Raw genomic sequence first — 24,399 nt, forward strand, 5'->3', positions numbered from 1 at the left:
TCAATGATCACCTGAGACAGAAGATGGGAAACTGACCACAAAGGAGAATGAACAGGGTGACCAACCATCCCAGTTTGCCTGGGACCATCTTGGCAAACCCCTCAGTCCAGGCAAACTGAGACATTTGGTCATTCCAGGCTATAAAAAGAAACATTTTTAGGGTGATAGAAATGTTCTAAATCTTGACCAGGGTAGTGGTTATATGGGCATGTTTGTTGGAATTTACTAAACTGTCATTTAAAATGCCTATATTTTATTACATATAAATTATATTTCTATTAACTTGATTTAAAAAGTAAAAAAAAAAAAAAAAGGGACCATTATGTAATTTGTGTTGCCTTTACTAAATGCAAACAGAAGTTTAACCTTCTTAAATTGCTATTTATAAGGCTAGCATTAAAAGTATCAGAATCTGTCAAACCCTAAAATCAGAACTATTTTATATACAATATGCATATTTTTTAAGAAAGCAAAGATGAGACATAATCAAGAGGCATTTAAAAAACTTTTCAGCCTCTGAAGTTATTCACATTTCAAAACGTTTACTTAGAGCCTATTCCTCAAGAAGCTCTAGGGCAGAGAGACTTGTACGTAAATCAACAACAATCAGGTGACAATAGTATAGCAAAGTAAGTATAGGTAATGTGTGAGGTGAAAGTGCTACACTGCACTGGAAAGAGGAAGGGATTCAGGAAAGGTTCTGGAAGGGGAGTCAAGAGCTGATTTTACTTAAGGAATGTAGCAGGCAAATGAGTAAAAAGTACATTCTATGCACACTAGATGTGTAGGTGAAAAACAGCATTCTAAAAGAGAATAAGGACTGGATTATAGATGGATGATATAATTAAAGGCTAAAAGGTAAGCAAGTGATAGATATGAAGAGCAAAGATTCAGAACGCATGACTATCTTTAACACCACAAACATAAGACATTTTAACAACTATCCTATTTCAACCTCTGAGTATATCTTTAGGTTTTATATTAAGTTTTTATTAGGTTCAGAGTATATTTCTACCTGATTTACTCCAGCTGAATTCTACATTTGGAACTTTTGAAACAGAATAATTGAATAATTTTATAGATAAAAAAGATGTTTGACAAATTATCATTTCATACACAAAACAAGTCTTAGGGTTCACTTGAATTTTAAGAGATGGAAATTTTTTTTCCTCCAAAACGTTTAGACTAAAGACATATATTTTGAGTAATTAATACTTATTCCTGGATTTCCTGAAAACTGAGTCCTTTTTTGACTTAAAGGAAATTAAACTAGATGGAAATGCTTTATGCACTCTTCTGTAAGTGTATTTCATACAAAAGAGGGGGGAATTTTAAAAATTATCACACCAATGGGAAGGGAACATATTCTCAGTTATCTATTACTAGAACTCATGATCTTTTCATTTGTTGCAAAAAGCATCAAGATCAGCCTGCCCCACCCCTTTGGGGATGTTGTTCATCCCCTTACTATTAAATCAATCAATTTATCTGTTCCTGGCCCTACCTAGTTAGAAATTTATCCAAACACTGAAAAATATCAACACAGGAATTATGAGTTGATAATTACTGTCTTCAAAGAAGTACTACGGCCCAAGAAGCACCTCACAAAAAGCAACTGACAAGCTCTGAAACGCTAGTATTTCTTCCACAACGTTGTTTATTTTATAGTTCAACACCAGAGGTCGCCAAACTTCAGCAATAGAGGTGCATGTGTAGCCTTTAAGAGCGAAGTAAAAGAAAACCTATTAGAAATGTCGCTACTCCGCTTAAAATCCTGCAATTGCTTCCAACTGCTTACAAGCTAATGTGATCTGGCCACTGTCAACAGCTCCAGTCTTCTCCTTCCTGGTAAACTCATATTCTATCAACCCCACCAGGCAGAACCTTAAGCGACAACCATAAAGAAACACACCAAACCTAGTTTTACTAAATATTTATCCACTCCCTTCCGCTCCCTATCTGGTAAATACTTTTTCATGTTTCAATATTCAGCTCAATGGTTAGCTCTCCTAAGAAGGCTTTCCAGACAGCACTACTCTGAGTGAAATGCTTCTGCCTTTGTATTCTGCTCAGACATCTGGAATAATACTGGGCTTGCCCTATTGCCCTCAGTTCCTCTCCTCCCATCCATCAGTCTCTGAAGCCCCTGAAGGCAAGAAACCTCTAAGTTCTTGCCCAGCACCTAGTAAAAACTGTTCACTAAATTAACGCATGTAGTTAATGTGGTATGCACCTTGAAAGACTAAAGGGATGTATGGCTAGGCTTATAGATAATGAATTCAATAAAGGTTTTAAAAATGAAATTATATAACACAACATAATCATTGTATAAATGGTTGAATACCTAAACATCTTCATTTATTTTCTGCATATGGAATTTGGAGTGTTGGGTTGTGTTAGATTGGCTGCTATATCCTCAAAAGGACAAATTTTTCTAAATAGAAAACATGTATTCTGTTTCAAAATATCAGTCTAATGACAATAGAATCACTATCATTTTCACTTATAGAGGACTGATATGAAATGTCATCTCCTCTGGCATTTTCCTACAATTTACAGATTTTACTATTTATTTTTTGAGACAGAGTCTTGCTCTGTCAGCCTGGTTGGTGTGCGGTGGTGCAATCTTGGCTCACTGCAACCTCTACCTCCCAGGTTCAAGTGATTCTTGTGCCTCAGCCTCCTGAGTAGCTGGGATTACAGGTGTGCTCCACCACACCCAGCTAATTTTTATATTTTTAATAGAGATGAAGCTTCCTCCTGTTGGTCTTGAGCTCCTGGCCTCAAGTGATCCACCCATCTCAGCCTCCCAAAGTGCTAGGATTTACTGCATGAACCACCGCACCCAGCAGGTTTTACTTTTTAAATCTACTAGTTGTAGGTAGCTAAAGTAATAAGCTCAATAATGCAGATTTTACCCAGTTTATACCTCTCCCCTATACTATATGATTACAAGTTGGTATAAGCAACCATTTTCTTGGGGTGCAATATTTCTCTCTCAGGGTTTCCTTCTAATTTCCAAAAGGCAAAGAGCAAAAAGGTATAGCTGCAGCAATATGAGTCTTAAAGCCCCATTAAGAACTTCAGTGATTTTCATCATTTTTCAGAGCAGCAAGCTGTCACATTATTTGAGCACAAGTAAACAATTTGGGTAAAGTATTTATTTAAACTAGACAGAATGAACTACTAAAGGAGGGTCCCCCCGTGTGCCTATACTCTATTTCATTCACTCTTTCTTGCCTGTCATTTAACTCAAGTTGATCAGCTCTCCTTCCCTTTTAGGGGGCAATCGGGGTGGATGGTACAACTCTGAGAAACCCTTTAGAGTCCTTTGCAAAACTATAGTCAGGGTTTATTGCCTTCCTTAAGATGCAGTGGAAATGACAAAGACATTCTTTTACAGATAGATGTGCTCACTTTTGCCTTAAAAAAAAAAAAAAGCTTTACTGTACTTCATGTATCATGAAACCCACCCCTTATACAACTGAGTGATTTTTACTACATTTACAGAGGTGTGCAATCATCACTGCTGTCTAATTTTAGAACATGTTCATTACCTCAAAATGAAAGCCTGTATCCATGAGCCATCATTCTCATTTCCCCCAGCTCCCCAGAACCACTAATCTTTTTGTCTCCACAATCTGTCTCTTCTGGACATTTAATATAAATAGAATGGAATTATATAATATGTGGCCTTTCGTGTGTGACATTTTCTTATCTATTCATCAGTTGCTAGAAATTTTATTTGTTCCTTTTTTGGCTATATAACATTGCTATAAACTTTGCGTACATGTTTTGTGTGGATGTAAGTTTTCAGTTATTAGGATATATACCTACAAGCTGAATTGCTGGGTCATATAACTCAATGTTTAATAGTTTGAGGAAGTGCCAAACTTGTTCAAGGTTTGCATCATTTTACAACCACACCAGCAATGCATGAAGGTTCCAGTTTCCCCATATCCTCACCAACATTAGTTACTGTCTTTTTATTTTAGTCATTATGGAGAGTGTGATAATAGTATTCATTATGGTACTGACTTGCATTTCCTTGATGAATAATGATGTTGAGCATCTTTTTGTATGCTTACTGGCCATTTGTGTATCTTCTTTAGAGAAGTGTCTATGCCGATTCTTTGTCCATTTTTCAAGTGGGCTTTCTTTTTATTATTGAGTTGTAAGAATTCCTTACATACTGTAGATACAAATCCCTTACCAGACATAATTTGTAAAAATTTTCTCCAATTGTCTTTTAAGTTTCTTGATGCTGTCTTCTAAAGCACAAGTTTTTAAATTTGACAAAGTCCAATTTACTTCTATTTTCTTTTATAATGTGTGCTTTTTGTGTTACATGTATGAAAATATTGACTAATTGAAGTTCACAAAGATTTATATCTGTTTCCTTCTAAGAGTTTTATCGTTTTGGCTCTAACATTTAGGTCTTTGATTCATTCTGAATTCATTTGTTTTTAATTAATTGACGAATTATAAGTGTATATAGTTTTGAGGTAAACAGTGATATTATGGGTATACAATGTGGAATAACAGAATCAGACTAATTAACATACCGATTACATTAAATACTTATCATTTGTTCCTCCTGTCTAACTATAATTTTGTACCCTTTGACCAACATTTCCCATCCTCTCCACCTTCTGGTAAACACTATTCTTCTCTCTCCTTCTGGAATTCAATCGTTTCAGAATCCACATATTAGTAAGACCATGCAATATTTCTCTTTCTATGCCTGACTTACTCTACTTAGCATAATGTCCTCCAGGTTCACCCATGTTGTCACAAACGACAGAATTTCCTTCTTTCTTAAGGCTAAGTAGTATTCCACTGTAGTGGATATATATATACCATATTTTTCCTTCCGTTCATCCACTGATAGGTACTTACGTTGTTTCCATATCTTGGCTTTTATGAACAGAACTTGAGAGTACAGATATCTCTTTGACATACTGACTTCAAGTCTTCAGGATAGATTACCTAGAAGTGGAACTGCTGGATCATACTGTAATTTTATTTTCAGTTTTTGAGGAACCTCCATATAGTTTTCCATAATGGTTGTACTAATTTACATTCCTAACAACAGTGTACAAGGATTCCCTTTTCTCCACAAGCTATATAATTTTTGTATATGGTGTGAGGTGGGGGTCCAACTTCATTCTTTTGCATATGGATCCAGTTGTCCAAGCACCATTTGTCAAAAAGACTATTGTTTCCCCATTGAATTATCTTGGAATCCTTGTCAAAAATCAATTGACAATAAATATAAAGGTTTATTTCTAGACTCTCCATTCTACTTAATTGATCTGTATGGCTACATTCACGCCAGTAATACATTGTCTTGATTACTGCAGTTGTGTAGTAAGTTTTGAAAACAAGAAGTGTGGCTGGGCGTGGTGGATCATGCCTGTAATCCCAGCACTTCGGGAGGCCAAGGTAGGTGGATCACTTCTTGAGCCCAGGAGTTTGAGATCAGCCTGGGCAACATGGTGAAAACCTATCTATAACAAAGAATACAAAAATTTGCCAGGCATGGTGGTGTGTGCCTGTAGTCCCAGATACTCAGGAGGCTAAGGTGGGAGGACAGCTTGAGCCAAGAAGGTGCAGGCTACAGTAAGCCATGATTGTACCACTGCACTCCAGCCTGGGTGACAGAGCGAGACTCTGTCTCAAAAAAAAAAAAAAAAAAGTGGCTCCTCCAACTTTATTCTTTTTCAAGACTGTTTTGGACTTCATTCTTTTCTTACTAAATAAAAATTTATACTTGGAAACAAATCATCTTCCTCCCCGCCAAAAAGTTTTGATTACGTAAACTATTGAACATAAAGTGAAAAATTCATTTTTGGTTGATACATATTCATAGGAGTCAAAAGACCTTTTTTTCTAGGTGAATTTCAGCTAAAGTGGTATTCTCAAGGAAGCAGTATAAAATAGAAAGGGGGGTATATGAATCTCTTGGATTAAAAAAAAATACATGTAAAAATCTGTATACACATCAACCAGTTTTACTTTCCTTCGAGAATCACTAACACTATAGTTCTTTGTAGCATCACAAGCCAAGATTTCCTTCATACTGTCTTAATATCTTATACATCAAATAAACAATAAAATATTGCTTTATAAATATGAAATAGCATTCAGTATACTTTTAAAAACTAGAAATGCCCCTTTCTACAAGATTGCTAGTTTCTTATACTTTTCCTACTAGCCAACTATTAAGAATCATTGGTGTCAAACATTTTAACCTTTTATTGCAAAAAAGGAAGCAAGAATTCCTTAGTAAAACATAGATCCTGAAGTCAGGGGTCTAGCATATGCATGCTATCAACCTGACAGATTTCTGTCCCTGTCCCATCTCTCACCTGCCCCTTCATATACTTTATAGATTTCTCCAAAGAAAATGTATTAAATTGAGGCCCTGAAATTAGGTCAACACACAAAATAACTCAAAAGGCAACCCTGCACAAGAATCTGCAGTTGATGACTACAGGGTATTATATCCCAGGAAAAGTAATCATATGGATGGTCCTTTGACTCAGGTCCTAAAATACAACTATAAATAAATTAGTTTTGAAGTGACAATGTCATGAAACTTCAGTTTGTCTGGAAAAAAGTTTCTTTGTATAAATAAAACATCACTGGCAAATTAGTAAATAACTACACTGCATATTCTGGGAAAAGTAACGATTTCAAATGGATGCCATTATCTGCAAGTCAAAAGACAAACTGAGCTACATCGCCAGGAGTTATTTTTCCATGCCTAGGCACACATACTTTTAAGTATACAGGGATTTAACTAAGTATGGGTAAGTTACTGTAGACCAAATACAATTTCATAATATTAGTTAAAATTAATGTTTCTTTTGGTCTATGGAAAACATTATACTAATGTTGAGCAGTTATTGCATTAGAATAATTCTTTTAATGCCTCCGTTTTTCTTATTTTAAAAATGTTGGCATCATATCGTATGTGTAATACCCACTTTCTACAGGTGGTTATTATTAACTGTAGTCTTATTTCCTTGTACTATAATAGGGGAAAGATGTTTACCCTGGAGTTCTTGGGAGAGCTACGGGAAGGCCAAGAATCACCTAAAGTTGCATACAAACTGTTTGGTATTTATTCATTTTTCTGGGGGGAAGTGTCCACTATTACTAATAGATTTTCAAAGTAGTCCATGATTTAAAAACTATTAAGAGCTGCTGCTCTGATCAGCAATAAATGAAAAAATTTAACTGATAATACAAGAACAAATTAAGTACCAACTAACACAATCAGTCAGTCAAGACAGCGCCACTGAACTTCCAGCCTGGGTGACAGAGCAAGACTCTGTCTCAAAAAAAAAAAAAAAAAAGAAAAAGAAAAAGAAAGATTGTCTGACAATGAAAATGTTAAGTCAGGAAACAAGAGTGTAGGTACACATGGGCACTGAACAAACTATAGGACAGGACAGGGATAATTAAAATCCAAAATATTTGCTAAATGAAGATGGTGAAAATAAGGTTGAACTGTACAGAAGCTCCTTGATTTAAAATGGGGTCATATCATGGCAAACCCATACATAGTAAGCTGAAAATATCCTAAGCTGAAAATGCAAACAATATGTCCAATCTACTGAAATCACAGCTCAGCCTAGACTACCCTTAAATGTGCTCAGCACAATTACATTAGCCTACAGTTGGGCAAAATAATCAAACACAAAGACTATTTCATGATAAAGTGTCAAACATCTCATGTAACCTATTAAATATTGTCTTAAAAATGAAAAACAGAATGGTTGTACAGGTACTCAAAATACAGTTTCCACTGAATCTGTGCTGCTTTCCCAGTATTGGAAAGTCAAAAAATCATTAAGCCATCCTAAGTCGGGGACTGTCTGTAACTGAAAGCAAAGCAAAGGAATTGTGGGGACCATGTGTAATTGAAAGCAAAGCAAAGGAACTGACCATTACAATGGTTGAAACAGAATTAAACCTAAAGATACCTCAAATTGATTTCACTACTGTAAGATTTAGGGGTTGCATCACTAATTTGCTGGTAGACACAAATTTTTACAATATACATATAATAAGTAATAAACACAACTCAATGGGTTCTGGGTATCAAGTTGACATTAAGGATCATATAGTTTTTCCCGAAGGTACAAAATTCCATGAATAGAGGCTATAAATTGAGCTACAGATGAATCAGATGGTTTTTCCACCACCCTACTCTTCCTGTATATACGGTAATACAGTAGTTTCCCCTTAACTGTGGAGGATATGTTCCAAGACTCCCAGTGGATGCCTGAAAACATACGTAGTACCAAACTATATACTATGTTTTTCCTATACATACATACCTATGATAAAGTTTAATTTATAAATTAGGCACAGTAAGAGATTAAAAGCAACAACAATTAAAATGATATACTGTAAAGTTCTGTGAATGTAGTCTCTCTCTCAAAATATTTTCTTGTACTACACTTATCCTTCTTGTTGTGATGATGTGAGATGATAAAATGCCTATGTGGTAAGATGAAGTGAGGTGAATTACACAGGCCTTGTGACATAGCCTTAGTCTACTAATGATCTTCTGACTGTACACCAGGAGGAGGATCATCTGCTTGGAATGATCCTGGATCAGTGAGCCATAATAATGTCCATGGCTGGATGTCAGGAGCAAATGATGTCGATGACTAACGGGCAGGTAGTGTATACAGCATGGATATACTGGACAAAGGGAGGATTCACGTCCCAGGAGGAATGAAGCAGGACAGCATGAGATTTCAGCATACTACTCAGAACAGCATGCAATTTAAAACTCATAAATTGTTTATTACTAAAATTTTCCACTTAATGTTTCTGAACTGTGGTTGGCTCTGGGTAACTAAAACAGTAGAAAGTGATACCTGTGGATATCAGGAGACTACTGTAGTAACAGTAATAGTAGTAGTAGTGATGCTTACTTCTTAGGGTTAATATAATAATTAAGTGTGGTAATGAATGTAAAGTGCTTAACCCAGTGCCTGGCACAAAGTAAGGTCTCACTGAGTGGCAGCTTTTATGATGAGCAGTCATTTCCCAATATTGGAAAACGTAGAACTCTGAGGAGCCAGGGATCCACTGATCTTTTTGTCTAAATTATACCACAAACAAGCATCAAATTGAAAGCCTAGGAAAACAATTATTTAGACAAACATTTGTAACAAAAATGTAACTCTCAACTTCTGTAGAACTGTTTTTGTTTACTAACAAAAACAAAAAATTGAAAGCAACTACTTTTTCATAAGTCCTGCAACTGTAAAAAGATATGATTTCTTAGAAAAAATCAACATCACATAGTAGTAAAAAGCAAAAAATAAAAATTCTCTCCTTTTCCCCTTCCCTTAATTCTATTCTCCATTGTAGAATTTGTAGGTCCTTCTAAATCTTTTTCTACGGATAGGCATCATAAGAAATGAAGCCCGCCCATCTACTTGGCTCCCATAGCACAATCAAAAGTTTATTTGCATCTGTGTTGTACTTTCAAATTTCTTACATAAAATTTCAGTTACAGATAACTGAAATTACTAGCTCTTCCCTGTGTAAAAGCTATCTACATAGATATCTAGGTTGGTTAATTAATGTTAAGAGAAAACTAAACAGTAGTTTAGTAAAGCTGTATTACAAAAGAAATTAAGAAAATTTAATTGCCTTATAAAATAATTTTATTATTGCAAATAATTTAAGTATCAATATATTTAATGTCAAGCTTTTTAGAGAAGATATACCCAAATTCTAAAGGCCAGTTACAAAAACTATGAAAGCTATACTGAAATTCTATTATCAAGAGGTGTAGCATTGACTAATTCTGTCCTAAAACTCTTCTATTCAAAAGCAATAGTCAAATTATTACTATAGCATAAGTAAATGTTTATGATATAAATGAAACTATCTCTGTAGGAATTTTAATATTTAAAATTAAAAAATTCTACAAATGGTTGGTTTATTTTTAAATTGTTAGTTTTGTGATAGTTTAATCCAGAAATTAAACTCTGGACTGAAATTCATCTTACCTTATTTGAAATTTATGTTTTAAAGTTTGAAGAGTAGAGGGGAGAAATTATTAGTAAAACTTACAGCTTTCCCAGGTCCAAAACTTCCTAGATTGCTTATATGGAATTTCTGGGGGACACCTGTCATTTATGTAAGAAAGTTAATAATCAAACTTACGAAAACCAATACATCATGTAAACTTTTTGAAACACAATGCTGTATCACTTTACCTTAATGCTGTTATTTTCAGCATCAATTATGTAATTCAAAATACAATCATGCAGTGGAATCTATGTAGTCATTAAAAAATATACTTAATTGTTCAGTTTTTAAAAGTCTACAAAGCAGTAAGATGGTATTTTTATTTAAATAAAAAGAAAATATAGTATATGAAAATATTTATAGAAGTATTTTTCATGATGTGCTAGAACAGTAAGTGATTTTTGTCTATTTGTCTGTGCTTTCTCAGTCTTCTGCATTGAGCATATAAAATCTAAGACTATGTAGTTATAAAAAAAGTAACTGTCATTAAAAATTATCACCTTCACCAGCATTATACAAGCCTGCACAGGACTCTCTTCTACAAAGCTCCACTGCTATGGCCAACTGCAGAGGTGCCAAAGGACAATGTTGTATGTCAGTGAACATTACATTTGGCAAAATTCCTGGTAGAGATTTTCCAAAAATATTTTATTTTTTCCCATGTATCTGGAACTATATCATATATTTCTTGAGGTTTTTATATTAAGGAAGAATTTAAAGGAAAAAAAGCACATTGTCTGAGAAGCCCCTAATGGAATTTGTCTTTTTACAAATGCCGTGAAAATCCAAGCATTTTTGATATGTAGAGGTCAAATGGCATAATGAAATGCTGATCTGACAATTCTATGCATGAAATTAACTTCAGAAAGTTAAATACTTGTGTTTTTCATGCTTAGAAATGATTTTCCATGACTTTCAAATCTGTTCTTATACTTTTAACTTATTCTAAAGATAATGTATTTGGATTTTATTCTAAATATTTTACAAAAACCTTATTAGAGGGCAGTGAGGAAAATTAAAAATGTTAGCTAGAATGAGATACAGTTCGTTTAATTAAACTGTTTTACTCATGCTGTAAATTACTGGCATGGACATCTGAGTCAATAAACAACATACACAACAACCACATTAACTTTTCTTATTAATTCCCAGCTTATTTCAAATTCATGAATGGACAATGGTTTAACAAGTTAATTCAATACAAACCTTAATTGAAAATTATTTTGGTGCCCTCAGATATTAAAACATAAGAATAAAAAAAAGTCCCTGCTCAGAAAGTTTATAAAATAATGAGGCAAAAGTTTATAAAATAATGAGGCAAGTCTACCACATAAAAAAACTTCATAAAGCTTATTATATGATTATCCACTTTCTTTTTTTTGCTTAAACTTAAATTCAGAGAAGAGTTATCCATTTTTCCAGGGTTAGTTTCCCCCAGATACTCTCTTATGAGGTTTTCTAGAAAGAAAATGAAAAGAAAGCAGAAAAGAACAGTTTAATACGAGTTCCCTACTTATCATAAGCACTAAGGGTGCATGACTATTACCTTAAAAAACGTGAGAACTGAACTGGGCATTTATGAGACCACCTTTAAGAAAATTTCAAATCTATTCTTAAAGTCATGTTTATCAGTACATGAAAGTATTTGTTTAAAATACAGAACGTCTTAATAACATTTAACTTTGAAAACAAACACATATAACTTCTCTTTTCCAACTTAAATCAGGAAAACTAGAATAGCTAGATCAGCATTTCTTAGGAATTTTTATTCAAATGAAACCTCATATATATTTAACATTTGAAGAACAGATGTTAGCAATAATAGGAAGGAGGGAGGGAGGGAGGCAAGCAGGAAGGAAGGAGAAAGAAAAAGATTTGATATTTATTATTTATTTATTTATTTGTGACAGAGTCTGACTCTGCCGCCCAGGCTAGAGTGCAGTGGTACTTGGCTTACTGCAACATCTGCTTCCCAGGTTCAAGCAATTCTCCTGCCTCAGCCTCTGGAGTACCCAGGACTACAGGTGTGCGCCATGGCACCTGGCTAGTTTTTATATTTTTAGTAGAGACAGGGTTTCACCATGTTGGTCAGGCTGGTCTTGAACTCTTGACCTCAAGTGATCTGCGCACCTCGGCCTCCCAAAGTGTTGGGATTACAGGTGTTAGCCACCACGCTTGGCTGTGATATTTATTATTTATTATTTTATTGATGGACTCGTTGACACAGTCTCGCTCTGTCACACAGGTGGAGTACAGGGGCATAATCTTGGCTTACTGCAACATTTGTCTCCCGGGCTGAAGCTACCCTCCCACTTCAGGCTCCCAAGTAGCTGGGGCTACAGGCATGTGCCACTATGCCTGGCTAATTTTTCTATTTTTTGTAGAGACTGGGTTTCGCCATGTTCCCTAGGCTAGTCTCAAACTCCTGGGCTCAAGCAATCCACCCACCTCGGCCTCCCAAAGTGCTGGGGTTACAGGCGTGAACTACGGCCCCTGGCCGGACCAGTAAGATTTGGGGCTACATTAAACACACACACACAACACTCTTATGAAGTTTATTAACCTTCATGCAATAAGACTTAGAACTATACTAAACATATACACACTTGCACAAAATACAAAGCCTAGAGCCTCCGTGCAATGTGTGGTAACTTCCAGTCAATAAATGGATGGTAAACTACTACTGGTAATTCCATCTATCCTGGGCAGCCACGGTCAAGAACATAGAAGGCACCTAGAAACCAGATATCCCAAAATGCCCTGGATGCTTGGAAATACTTACAGTTCTCTTATCTTATATCATTATCAAAACTTTCTATAAGCAGTGATTTTGGAACTTACTTACTATAGTAAGGTGATAAGTACATTTCTTAAGTATAAATGCAAGATGACAGCATAGCACATAAATGATGAGTGTTTTATTTCAGAGTTGGCCTGCTACTACATATTGATCACGGACCATTTTGGAAAAAATAAGCACTTAATGAAAATGAAGTCTGAAATTATCAGTAACAAAATATATTAATAGCAGGTAGCATAAAATAGTATTAGCAGAAAATGAATTACAAGGACTAACAAAAAGTTGTACAAACAAGCTCTAGACTTAAAGATTTATAAGGTATTACGGCAAGCATGAGATAGGGAATTATCACAGATGCTCACTTAGCTTCCTCAGAAATTCTACTTGCATTATGTATGAATTAAAATTAATGACAAATCGCCACAAAATTCTAAAATATAATCAGTAGAGAAATGATACAATTGTAATGAGCTAAACATATATGACAAATAGAATAGCTAATATGCCCACAGAATTGTAGCATGGTGATGGTGAGCTCAAGTACGTCAAATAAAAGCCTAGGGACAGGAGAAATGCTGAATGGTTGTGTAAGAGCAGAGACCAGGAAACTACAGCCCATTGTCTGTGTGAAGCCCATAAGCTAAGAATTAACAGATTTGCCATCAATTTGATGATTAGAAAGTACTAACTTTGAACATCAATTAAGAGAAAGGTTATATTTCCCCAAAAAGAACTCAATTCTTCTGGTTAGTAGAGCTGTATTTAAAAATAAAAATAAAAAAAAGACTCAATTATTATACCTCTAACTTCATCAATAAAAAAATTTGTGAAAATGTGTTTTCTCTTTTGTTACTGAAGTACCTATATGATATCCTCGATTTTGCCTTTTGGCCCACAAAGCCTAAAATATTTTATCTAGTCCTTTACAGAAAAAGTTGGCCAAGCTCCGTATTCAAGCATTAATTTACATGATGGGGTAGGCTTTTAGAAAATAAAGAAAGCAAACTATTCAAATTTACATCTAAGTGTAGCACAGAAATGAAAAAGAAAATAGTTCTGTTAACAAGTGTAAAAGATTAGATAGGAAACTCAAAAATGGTACCAAAAAGAAGATGCAAATACCACAGTGGTCTAAGCTGCAAATTGTAAGAAATTATATGGATAATAAAGAAGATCGCTTATTACACACTAGTCTTTTCAACCATACTTGCACACACTGACATCTAGCAAAACCACCTTTGATTTTTAAAATTCCTATTTTTATAGAATGAAGTACAAGGATTTGAAAAGAACTTGATCACAGTCCTATGTTCAACTGGTAGAAGCTACTGAGGAGTTACAGCTCAGTACAATAAAAACTAAATTCAAGCTGTCCAATACAGAATAAGCTGCATCCCTAAGTAGTAATCTGATGCTGGAAGTGTTCAAGAAAATACTAGAAAACCATTTGTTAGGAATGTAACTAAAAGGTTATTTTATTGTACATTGGACAACATGACCTCTAAGGAGATTTTTCAATTTTACAATTCTATGCAAAATTTGGGATATCACAAACAAAGCCCCAGAGACAGTAGGTGTTGTTGCTTTGTCCAAACTGAAACCTTAGAATGAAACAATCTAGTGATATAAATCTAGACACTAGGTTTTTTTTTTTTTTTTAAGTAAAGGGACTTCCTTTAAGATCTCAAATATTTAAAACTTAAAAAAATTACATTTAAAAACTCAATTAAAATCTCAGCTCTACTGTTCTTAAAAGAAAACATATATTCTAAGATAATATTTAAATATTTGTTAATAAAGGTGTATGTATGCAAAGCTGAATGAAAGCAGAAGCTGTGTCTGAGCAAAACCAGACATATCTTTATTCAGCTTTAAATAAAATTTAAAATAAATAAAATTATATTAAATTCATATAGACCCAATAAATAAAATTATATTAAATCCATAAGTCAAAATTTTGTTTCTATCAATGATCTAGCCAGACAGGTAGGCATTCATTCTTTCATTTTATAAATACTGAATAAATATAAATAGTGACCAAATACAAGTATCTCCTATGTGCTCCACAGAGTATTAGGAGCAGGGAGTATACAGTGAGCAAAAGCAGACACAGCTTCTGCTTTTATTCAGCTTACATACATTTTAGTGAGCTTATAGTCTAATTTTGCTTTTAAGTACTTTAAATAACAGATATATACCTTTCTTGCATCAGATATACATAATAGCTTTTCTAGGATCATACAAGAGAAGAGTAACTCAAATAAAAACCAAAAGGCTGGGGGGGCGTTCTTATACCCACTTTATAGCTGAACTTGCTACGTGACCTTGGATTGCTTCCTCCATTTTTTAAGTTTCTCGTATGTGTACATGTGTGATATATATTATTAAAGTAGCACAAAAATTCCTTCCAGTTCAAATATTCTGATTCAACCTTCTCACCTTGATTATTTCTACCAACTGATCCACACCACTATCCCCTGGAAATATTGGTTGTCCTAGTAACAGCTCAGCCAACACACAGCCAGCAGACCATACATCTAAAGAGAAAAGAAAACGAAGCCTTATTAATACTTCATAGCTTGAGCTGAAAAGTGTTTGTATACGTTTTCTAATTTTACTTTGATCACAGAGTAAATATCACAGGAAAAGATTATACAATCCAAAACAGAGAAAAAGTCATCAAACTTCCTTAATGTACTTTTTAATTAAATGTTAAACTTACCAAAGAGGAAACCAGACCAATAAGAATATTCTAATAAAGGGTAAAGTCTATTATTATCAAATTTCAGGTATTCAAGTCTTCAAATAACTAGACAGAGGATTACAGTACCAAAGCTATGGCAGGACTATCTATTTATCTTACTTAAAAATAAGTCAAAGTGACACAACGTCTGCATATTAGTAGGTACTTACAGAGGAGCAGCAAGGAAAGGTTCAATCTCTCCCAGACACTGGGCTTTAAGTCAGTGCAAATTCTGAGGAACACTTTTAAGACTTTAAATGGTTGATTTTTATGTTCTACGATGACTGACAGAAAAATGTGCTTAAATATATCATTTTTAAATAAAATGGAATAGCAATGATGGAGGAATACATTTTACTTCATAAATTATAAAAATAATCCACTTTTAAGTCAAAATGAAAACCTCAATCCGGAGAGAAAACTCTAAAAATTAACTCAATTAATACACTTTAAAAATACTTTAAAGTATACATCCTGGTTTACCCAGGATAGTTATGGTTTATATGTTGTCCTGGGATAATTATTAGTAACACCTCTTTCTCTCTCAAAAGTATTATCGGATTAGAAGATAAACCGTACGGTCACTCTATTTTAAAGCCCGCTATTAAGACTTCCTACAAGAAAAGGCTGCTTTTTAGCTTCCAGATTTCTGAGATTCCTAGGTTTTTAATGTACCAACACTCAAGTGCTTTAGGGAGACGAATATGAATCATTGCTGGACTTTACCACCTACCAGTACGGAAGGAGAAGAAGGAACAGTAAATGGTTGACAACAAAAAATTTTAAAGGTCTGATGTGGTGAGATGTACTATCAAGAGAGACTGGAAATCGTTGCTCCAGTGACTACTTTTTATTGACCTAGAAAAATGACATAGTATCATTTAACAAACTCGAGTTGATTTTGTCCAGTCCTAACTTAATAACCAAGACATCTATTCTGCAAATATAGACCAAGAGTCCTATTTAATATATTAGGAAATTGCTAAATTAAGCACATATGAAAACTTGTTAGGGAATCTTTACTCAAAGCCAATAGTAATACTAACTGTTATAGTCAAGCGGAAAAGATGTATCTCCTTATTTATGTAAATGCTTATTTTAATCTAAGTTTTAAAACATCCCTTTACCTAGTTAATAAGATGGAAGGTAATATGCACTCAACTTTTTTCCTCTCTAATACGGAATGATTCATCTCAGATACAAGGCTGAAAAAATTGTAAGGGAATAATTATGCCTTCATAAAAAACAATAGGAAACACTTTCTTAGGTAAGATTTAGCTACAAATATGGAAGACAAAAAGTAAAACATCAAGGAATACTCTTGCCTAGAAGTTATCACAGAAGACTGACACTCAAAAGATTCAGGTGACAACTATACTAGCAGCCCTCAATTCATGTTACATCAGTCAAGTTAGTAAAAACAAGGTACTTATCAATCACTTTCTGGAGGACACTAAAATCTCTTCTGCTCTTACTTCAAAGGACAAATGGATGAAATTCTCCAGATAGAATAAAACTTCAACTAAATAGAAGGTACCGGAAAAATAGAAATAGTGCTTTGGCACACTGAATTTTAGTTAGTTGGGGTTAAAGCCAGAATAGCATTTTGTTTCATATTTAACTCGGGTTCATGTTAAAGTGATCTTTCAAGACCATCTAGTTTAACACACTTATTTCATAGATAAGGAAATTAAGACATGATAAAGTTAAACGACTTGCCCAAGGTAAAGGTACTGAATAGTAGAGCTAGGCCTGGAATCATTCTCAATTCCCAATCAAAACACCACTCTCTTGAATAACTGTCTCACTGTCACAGAATAACAGCTTCTTCAAGGGTCTGTCTGTAAGTTCAATTCCTTGTTCTAAGGAAGCCTTTTGTTCTCATTCTGCCATTTGTCAGTAAGATAATATAATCAGAGACATCAGCTTTACCTCTGGCTGTATCTAAATATGACAATAATCTTGTCAGAAACAGTTACTCTTTCATTTCAAACATTACTGTTAAAAACATTTAAAAATGTAACAATATTAGTATACTTTTTGGGAGGGTCTGTTTAAAAACATTACAGTCTTAAGAGGCAAGTATCCTAAGTTTATAATGGGAAGCCAAACCTAGGCTTGCTAGGGTTCAAAAGACTCCTGTTTATATAACTGTTCCTTAATGTGTGAGATGATGTGTTAACTTTTTGAGAACAATCAAACTGCCTTTATTTTAGGTGTTTCTGGCACAGCTCACACCAGTATCTTATATACAGATAATCAGTATCATATATTTGAATAAAATGTAAAGCAGCTGGAAAATCCAATGACATACCCAAAGACAAGGGGCTGAAATTTGCTCTTGGGGAGAGTCAAGTCTAAAAATGCCACAAAAGAATACCACCTTTCATTTCTACAGTATTTTCACTAACATTTTATTTAAGCCTCACAGCCACTCAGAAAAGAACTGTCAGTAATCTCCACTTTACTTCAAGTGACCTGACACTCAAACCCAGGTCGACCACAAGCAAAATATTCTTTGTACTATTTTTCATCTGTCCATTCATATATGCCATGTACCACAGCCATACTAAGACTCTGAGAATTACATACACATACATATACACATTATTATGCTCTCTACCCTCTGGTAAAGCAGATGTCAAAGTGTGGTCTACAGAGGACACTTTGTACTCTTTGCACCTGGGTCCTCTAGACATTTCTAGATGTCCCAGAGGGCAAAACTCTTTTCATAAGAATACACCTTCACTGGGTTAACATTTGTACTGAGGGTACAAAGGAAATGGTGGGTAAAACTGCTGGCCTCTTGGCAGAAATCAAAATGTGCTTTGGCATTTTGCCATTTGGCAAAATAAAAAATGATAATGTGTTTCTGATTAGGGTGTTTGCTTGTATCAGAGAATTTCTATTTATATCAAAAAGACAAAAAAACTGTCACAAGGTCTGTTCTATTTTTTGTTGTTGCTGTTGTTGTTTTGAGAGGGGGGGTCTCATTCTGTCACCGAGCTGGAGTGCAGTGGTGGAGTCTCAGCTCACTGCAACCTCTGCCTCCTGGCCTCAAGCCATCCTCCCACCTCATCCTCCCAAGTAGCGGGGACTACAGGGGCATGTCACCACGCCCGGCTAATTTTTGGTAGTGACAGGTTTTCACCATGTTGCCCAGGCTGGTCTCGAACTCCTGAGTTCAAGTGATCTGCCCACCTCAGCCTCCCAAAGTGCTGGGATTACAGGTGTGAGCCACTGCACCAGGCCAGGTCTGTTTTTTGTTTGTTTTGGTTTTCTGTTACTGTGGGGATGTTTTTGGTTTATTATTTGCATGCTTTTGTTTGTTTCTGGACTAAAGGAATTCTCTTCAGAAACAATATGTAAGAGTAAAATAATTTTGGTTTCCACTTGCACATCCAGCTTAAAGTTGCTCCTTGTTTGTTAGCTTCCTATTCATGTCCAGCTGATCATGCTCTCTCTGTTCACTCCTGGCTAGTGGGCTAAGATGTAGTAAAAGAGAAGGTCAATAATGATTAAAGCTAATGGTCTCTATTCAGTTCCTTCTATCACTAAACATCTTGGGTGACGACTTGAGAAGGTCAATGATGATTAAAGCTAATGGTCTCTATTCAGTTCCTTCTATCACTAAACATCTTGGGTGAAGACTTGAGAAGGTCAATGATGATTAAAGCTAATGGTCTCTATTCAGTTCCTCCTATCACTAAACATCTGGGGTGAAGACTTGAGAAGGTCAATGATGATTAAAGCTAATGGTCTCTATTCAGTTCCTCCTATCACTAAACATCTGGGGTGAAGACTTGAGAAGGTCAATGATGATTAAAGCTAATGGTCTCTATTCAGTTCCTTCTATGACTAAACATCTTGGGTGCATACTTCTGCAGAATCAGTGCATCTAGCAAAACTACTAGTGATTTAAGCTGATTTTATATTAAATAATGGAGATGGCATGAAGGAAATGTTAGCAATATGGCCATACTATCACTTTCATTATTAACTTAATGAAATAACATTAATTAATAAATTATCCAACTAGTATAATCATGCTCAGAAGTATTTCAGGAGGATTTTAAATAAGAAAGTAAAAAAAAGTTACTTAGAATTAATTTAAATTCTTAAGGTAAAAGCTATTAGCTTTATGATTCTAACAGTCCAAGGAAGAAAAATAGAATAGTAGGTATACCTTAAATTCTAAAAAGTAGAATTTGAAAAATTCTATACAGGCATACGTCAGAGATGTTGCAGAACTGGTTCCAGACCATAACAATAAGACACAATAAAGCAAGTCTCACCAATTTTCTGGTATCCCAGTGCATATAAAAGGTATGTTCACTCTATACTGTAGTCTATTACTTGTATAATAGAATTGTATAAAAACATAAATGTAATACATTAACTTAAACACACTTTATTACTAAAAAAAAATGCTAATGATCATCTAAGCCTTCAGTGAGTTGTAATCTTTTTGCTGGCAGAGGGTCTTGCCTTGATGTCGATGGCTGCTGACTGATCAGGGTGGCAGTTGCTGAAGGCTATACGATGTGGCTGGAGTAATTTCTTAAAGTGACAATGAAGTTTGCCACATCAACTGACTCTTCCCTTCATGAAAGATTTTTCTCTAGTAGGAGATGCTCTTTGATAGCATTTTACCCACATTAGAACCACTTTCAAAATGGGAGTCAGTCCTCTCAACCCCTGCTGCTGCTTTATCAACTACAATTATGTAATATTCTAAATCCTTTGTTGTCATTTCAACAATATTCACAGCGTCTTAACCACTAGTAGATTCCACCTCAAGAAACCACTTTCTTTGCTCATCCATAAAAGAAGCAACTTGTTTATGTTTCATCATGAGATTGCAGCAGTTCAGTCACATCTTCAGGCTCCACTTCTAATTCTAGTTCTCTTGCTAGTTCCACAACATCTGCAGAGACTTCCTTCACTGAAGTCTAGAATGCCTCAAGGTCACCCATGAGGCTTGGAATCAACTTCTTCCAAAATGTTGTTCATGTGATTGAGTCACAAATGTTCTTAGTGACACCTAGAATGGTGAATCCTTTCCAGAAGATTTAAAATTGACTTTGCCCAGATCCATCAGACTAATCACTATCTAGGGCAGCTATAGCCTTACAAATGTATTTCTCAACCTTTGGGTGACCAGTTGCACTGTCCATAAGCAGTAATATTTTGAAAGAAATACTCTTCTCTGGAGTAGTAGGTCTCAGCAGTGGGCTTCAAATATTCAGTGAACCATGCTATAAACAGATGTGCTATCATCCACTCATTGTTGCTCCATTTATGCAGCACAGGCAGAATACATTCAGCATCATTCTTAAGGGCCCTAGGATTTCTGGAATGGTAAATGAGCAGTGGCTTGCACTTAAAAGTCACCAGCTACATTAGGCCCTCACAAGAGAGTCAACCTGTCCTTAGAAGCTTTGAAGCCAGGCAATGACACTTCTCCTCTCTAGAAGAAGTCTTCCATCTCTAGAAAATCTAGAGATGAAAGTCCTAAACGGTATCTTCTTCCAATTCAGTAGAAGGCTATTTGGTCTCCATTAAAACTCTGATGTTTAATGTAGCCACCTTCATCGATGATCTTAGTTAGATCTTCTGGATAACTTGCTGCAGCTTCTACATCAGCACTTGCTGCTTGCCTTGCACTTTTATGGCATGGTGCAGCTTTTTACCCTTAATCCTCATGAAATAACCTCTGCTACCTTCAGATTTTTCTTGTGTAGCTTCCTCACCTCTCTGTCTTCACAGAATTGAAGGGAGTTCAGGCCTTGCTGGGTTAGGCTTTGGCTCAAGTGAATGTTGTGGTTGGTTTGATCTATCCAAACCACTAAAACTTTCCCTGTAACAGCAATAAGGCTGTTTCACTTTCTTATCATTCATCTGTTCATTGGAGTAGCACTTTAATTTCCTTTAAGAACTTTTCCTTTCTGGTCACAACTTGGCTAACTGTGTGGCACAATTTCGATATGCCTTCCTTGCTCAGCTTAATCATTTCTAGCTTTTGATTAAAAGTGAAAAATGTACCTTTCACTTGAACACTTAGAGGCAACTGCAGAGTTATTAATTGGCCTAATTTCAATATTGTTGTCTCTCAGGGAATAGGGAGGCCTGAGGATAGGAAGAGAGATGGGGAATGGCCAGCTGGTGGAATATTCATAACATACACAACACCGATCGATTAAGTTTGCTGTCTTATATTGTTGTGGTTTGTGGCAAACCAAAACAATTACAATAGTAACATCAAAGACCACTGATCATAGATCACCATAGCAGATACAATGAGAATGTTTGAAATGTTGCAATAATTACCAAAATGTGACACAAAGACATGATGACACAAAGACATGAAGTGAGCACATGCTCTTATAAAACTAGTGTGGGCAGACTTGCTTGACTCAGGGTTGACACAAACCTTTGAGAGGTTAAAAAAAAAAAAGCAGTGCCTGGAAAGTATAATAAAATGAGGTATGCCTATACATGTTTGCATCTCAAGCTTTAAGAAAAAAAACATTATGGGATATATCCATCTTTCCATGGAAATAAAAGTACAGATTAGTAGTACTAAATTACCAAAATCAAGAAGCAATTAATAATTATGAGCATTATATTCAGATTTGTACTTACCTATACTAGAGGTATAATCAGTGGCTCCAAAGATCAACTCTGGTGCCCTATAGTACCGAGAACAGATATACGAAACATTGGGTTCTCCTCGGACCAGCTGCTTTGCACTAACAGAAAAAAAATAAAAATAAAAAGCAGAAATTCTTTAAATCTAAACCTTAAAGAACTTAGACTGCTATCCTTTCACAGTATCAAATGATTTTATAAGATTCACATCATTTGAATCATATATGAAAAAGAAAATGTAAACTGTAACTATCTCTAATAAAAGAAATTTACAATTTTATCACCTTGCTCTGCAAAAAAGAATAGCAATTTTTAAAGAAAGCGTTTGTCACCTAAGAAGGCACCAAAAGCAAAAAAGGATAAGTGTTGAATTTCTTCTGATCCTCTGTTCCCCAAATTCCACCTCTAAAATACAAAGAAGCAAGGGCAGAAAAGAGGTACCTCCCCCACCAAAAAGCATGACAATGGATTCTAAGAATGAATACTCCTCACCCAATGTATTTCTTTAAAAAGGGTGAGAAACTGGCCACTGTCTTGCATTTTGACTTCTGACTCACGGCGAATATTTCAAGGCTTATAGACTCAATCTATTTTTCCATATCTTGGTCAATTTATTAACCACATAAACATTTATTACCCAATAAATTATAAACAGGCCCTTCAACTTCAGGGCAGAAATGATTCACTGCCTATAAATTCTAACTCTGCTATAGTAAGTATAATTGCATGTTTTCTTATTCCAATTTTCCTACTAAAATACTTCATTGCATGTATTTTAAATATGAAGTATAATAAATTACAATTAATTTCTTTTGAGATGTCGCCCAAGATAATCCAAAGACAGAATAAAATAAACTGCTGTAGAAGCCAGCCATTCTGACATACATTAATAATAAAGATAAATAAAGGGACAAAATGCAACAAAATCAAAACAGTAAAACAGTAAGTGCCAAAAAAAAAAAGTAAAGGTACTGGAAAACCAGGGTAAAGACAGATGAAAGTAGTCACAAGGATTTCAATGACTGGGATTTCTTTTCTTCCATTTATTTCTAGTCAATGATGACTCTAACCTTAACTTCTTTTTCCTTCATCACTAGTTTTGAAGTTTGTTTTTTAACCCTCTCCCCAAGTACTGACATACAATAACCATTTCATAAATTAATAAATACTAATCCCTGTTTTTAGGCTGCATGAAAATTATGACATTTAGTTTTCAGCATAATTGATAGGAGACTGTTATATCTTCTAAAGGATGCTTTTTAATTAACAAGATAGATGCTAATTATGTTCAGAAAATTCATTACGAGACAAAACGTTAATACCCAAGCTTTGTAGCCTGAAGTTTTTTCACTACCTGATGGAGCTACAAAAACGGAGCAGCCTCTCTTACAGAGGAGACTGGTTTTAACTACTTCCCAATATTGTGATCACATCTAGCTTTTTGTTCCTAAATAGCCCAACTAGTTCTTTAGCTACTTTTTGGCCCCTTTTCATCTAGTAAAAAAATAAGAAGAAAGTAATAGTATTTTGTTCAAATTACCAATCTGATAATGTACAGTCCAAAGTGTTTCCCAAACTCCATCTGACCAAACCAATTTTGTTAAAAACAAAAAAATCAGAGGGTTTATAAAAATGAGCTATCAAACAAGCGAAATCCCTCTTCCAAATTTATCAGAATAAAGCTATTTTATGTCCCAAGAGAATGGGCTGTACCAAGTGTTTTGACACTATATGAGAACAGAAGCTCTTCTAACCTTGGTGTCTCAGTCTGTCCCTACCAAGTCAGTCACTCTCAATGGTGAAGACACCCCATTAACAATAAAACATATCTGATTTGGGCAGTTTTTCCTATAGACAAGTAGTAGTGCTTTGTTTCAAACACCAGGTAAGAGTTTTACTATCTTTCACCCTTTTTAAAAATAGTTCAGGGAACAGAGTCATGGCCTGCAAAGTGATAGGTCATCTGAAATTAGAAAACAGTAAAATGAGGACAGTCTGAAAGAGGACACATTGTGAGACTAAGAAAAATTAACTCATGACAGAACAGATTTACTTATTTTTTAAAGGATCTGTCTCAAGAGAAGCCTGTGGAAAACATATCCTATGTTAAACCCCAAATTTAAACTGTGAATTGATG

General features: G+C 34.9%; 1 protein-coding gene across 4 annotated transcripts in view; it reads right to left on the minus strand.

Annotated features, from left to right (window-relative positions):
* GSK3B (glycogen synthase kinase 3 beta) overlaps positions 1-24,399 on the minus strand; it is a 273,127-nt gene that overhangs the window by 69,127 nt on the left and 179,601 nt on the right. For all 4 annotated transcript variants that reach the window (NM_001354596.2, NM_001146156.2, XM_006713610.4 and 1 more), the window contains exons 6-7: positions 22,257-22,363; positions 15,308-15,405 (exon numbers count right to left, since the gene is read on the minus strand). In NM_001354596.2, coding sequence (NP_001341525.1) covers positions 15,308-15,405; positions 22,257-22,363 — 205 coding nt within the window. The remainder of the gene's footprint in view (positions 1-15,307; positions 15,406-22,256; positions 22,364-24,399) is intronic.

Source organism: Homo sapiens, chromosome 3 (genome assembly GCF_000001405.40).
Source record: "Homo sapiens chromosome 3, GRCh38.p14 Primary Assembly".
Taxonomy (NCBI): domain Eukaryota; kingdom Metazoa; phylum Chordata; class Mammalia; order Primates; family Hominidae; genus Homo; species Homo sapiens.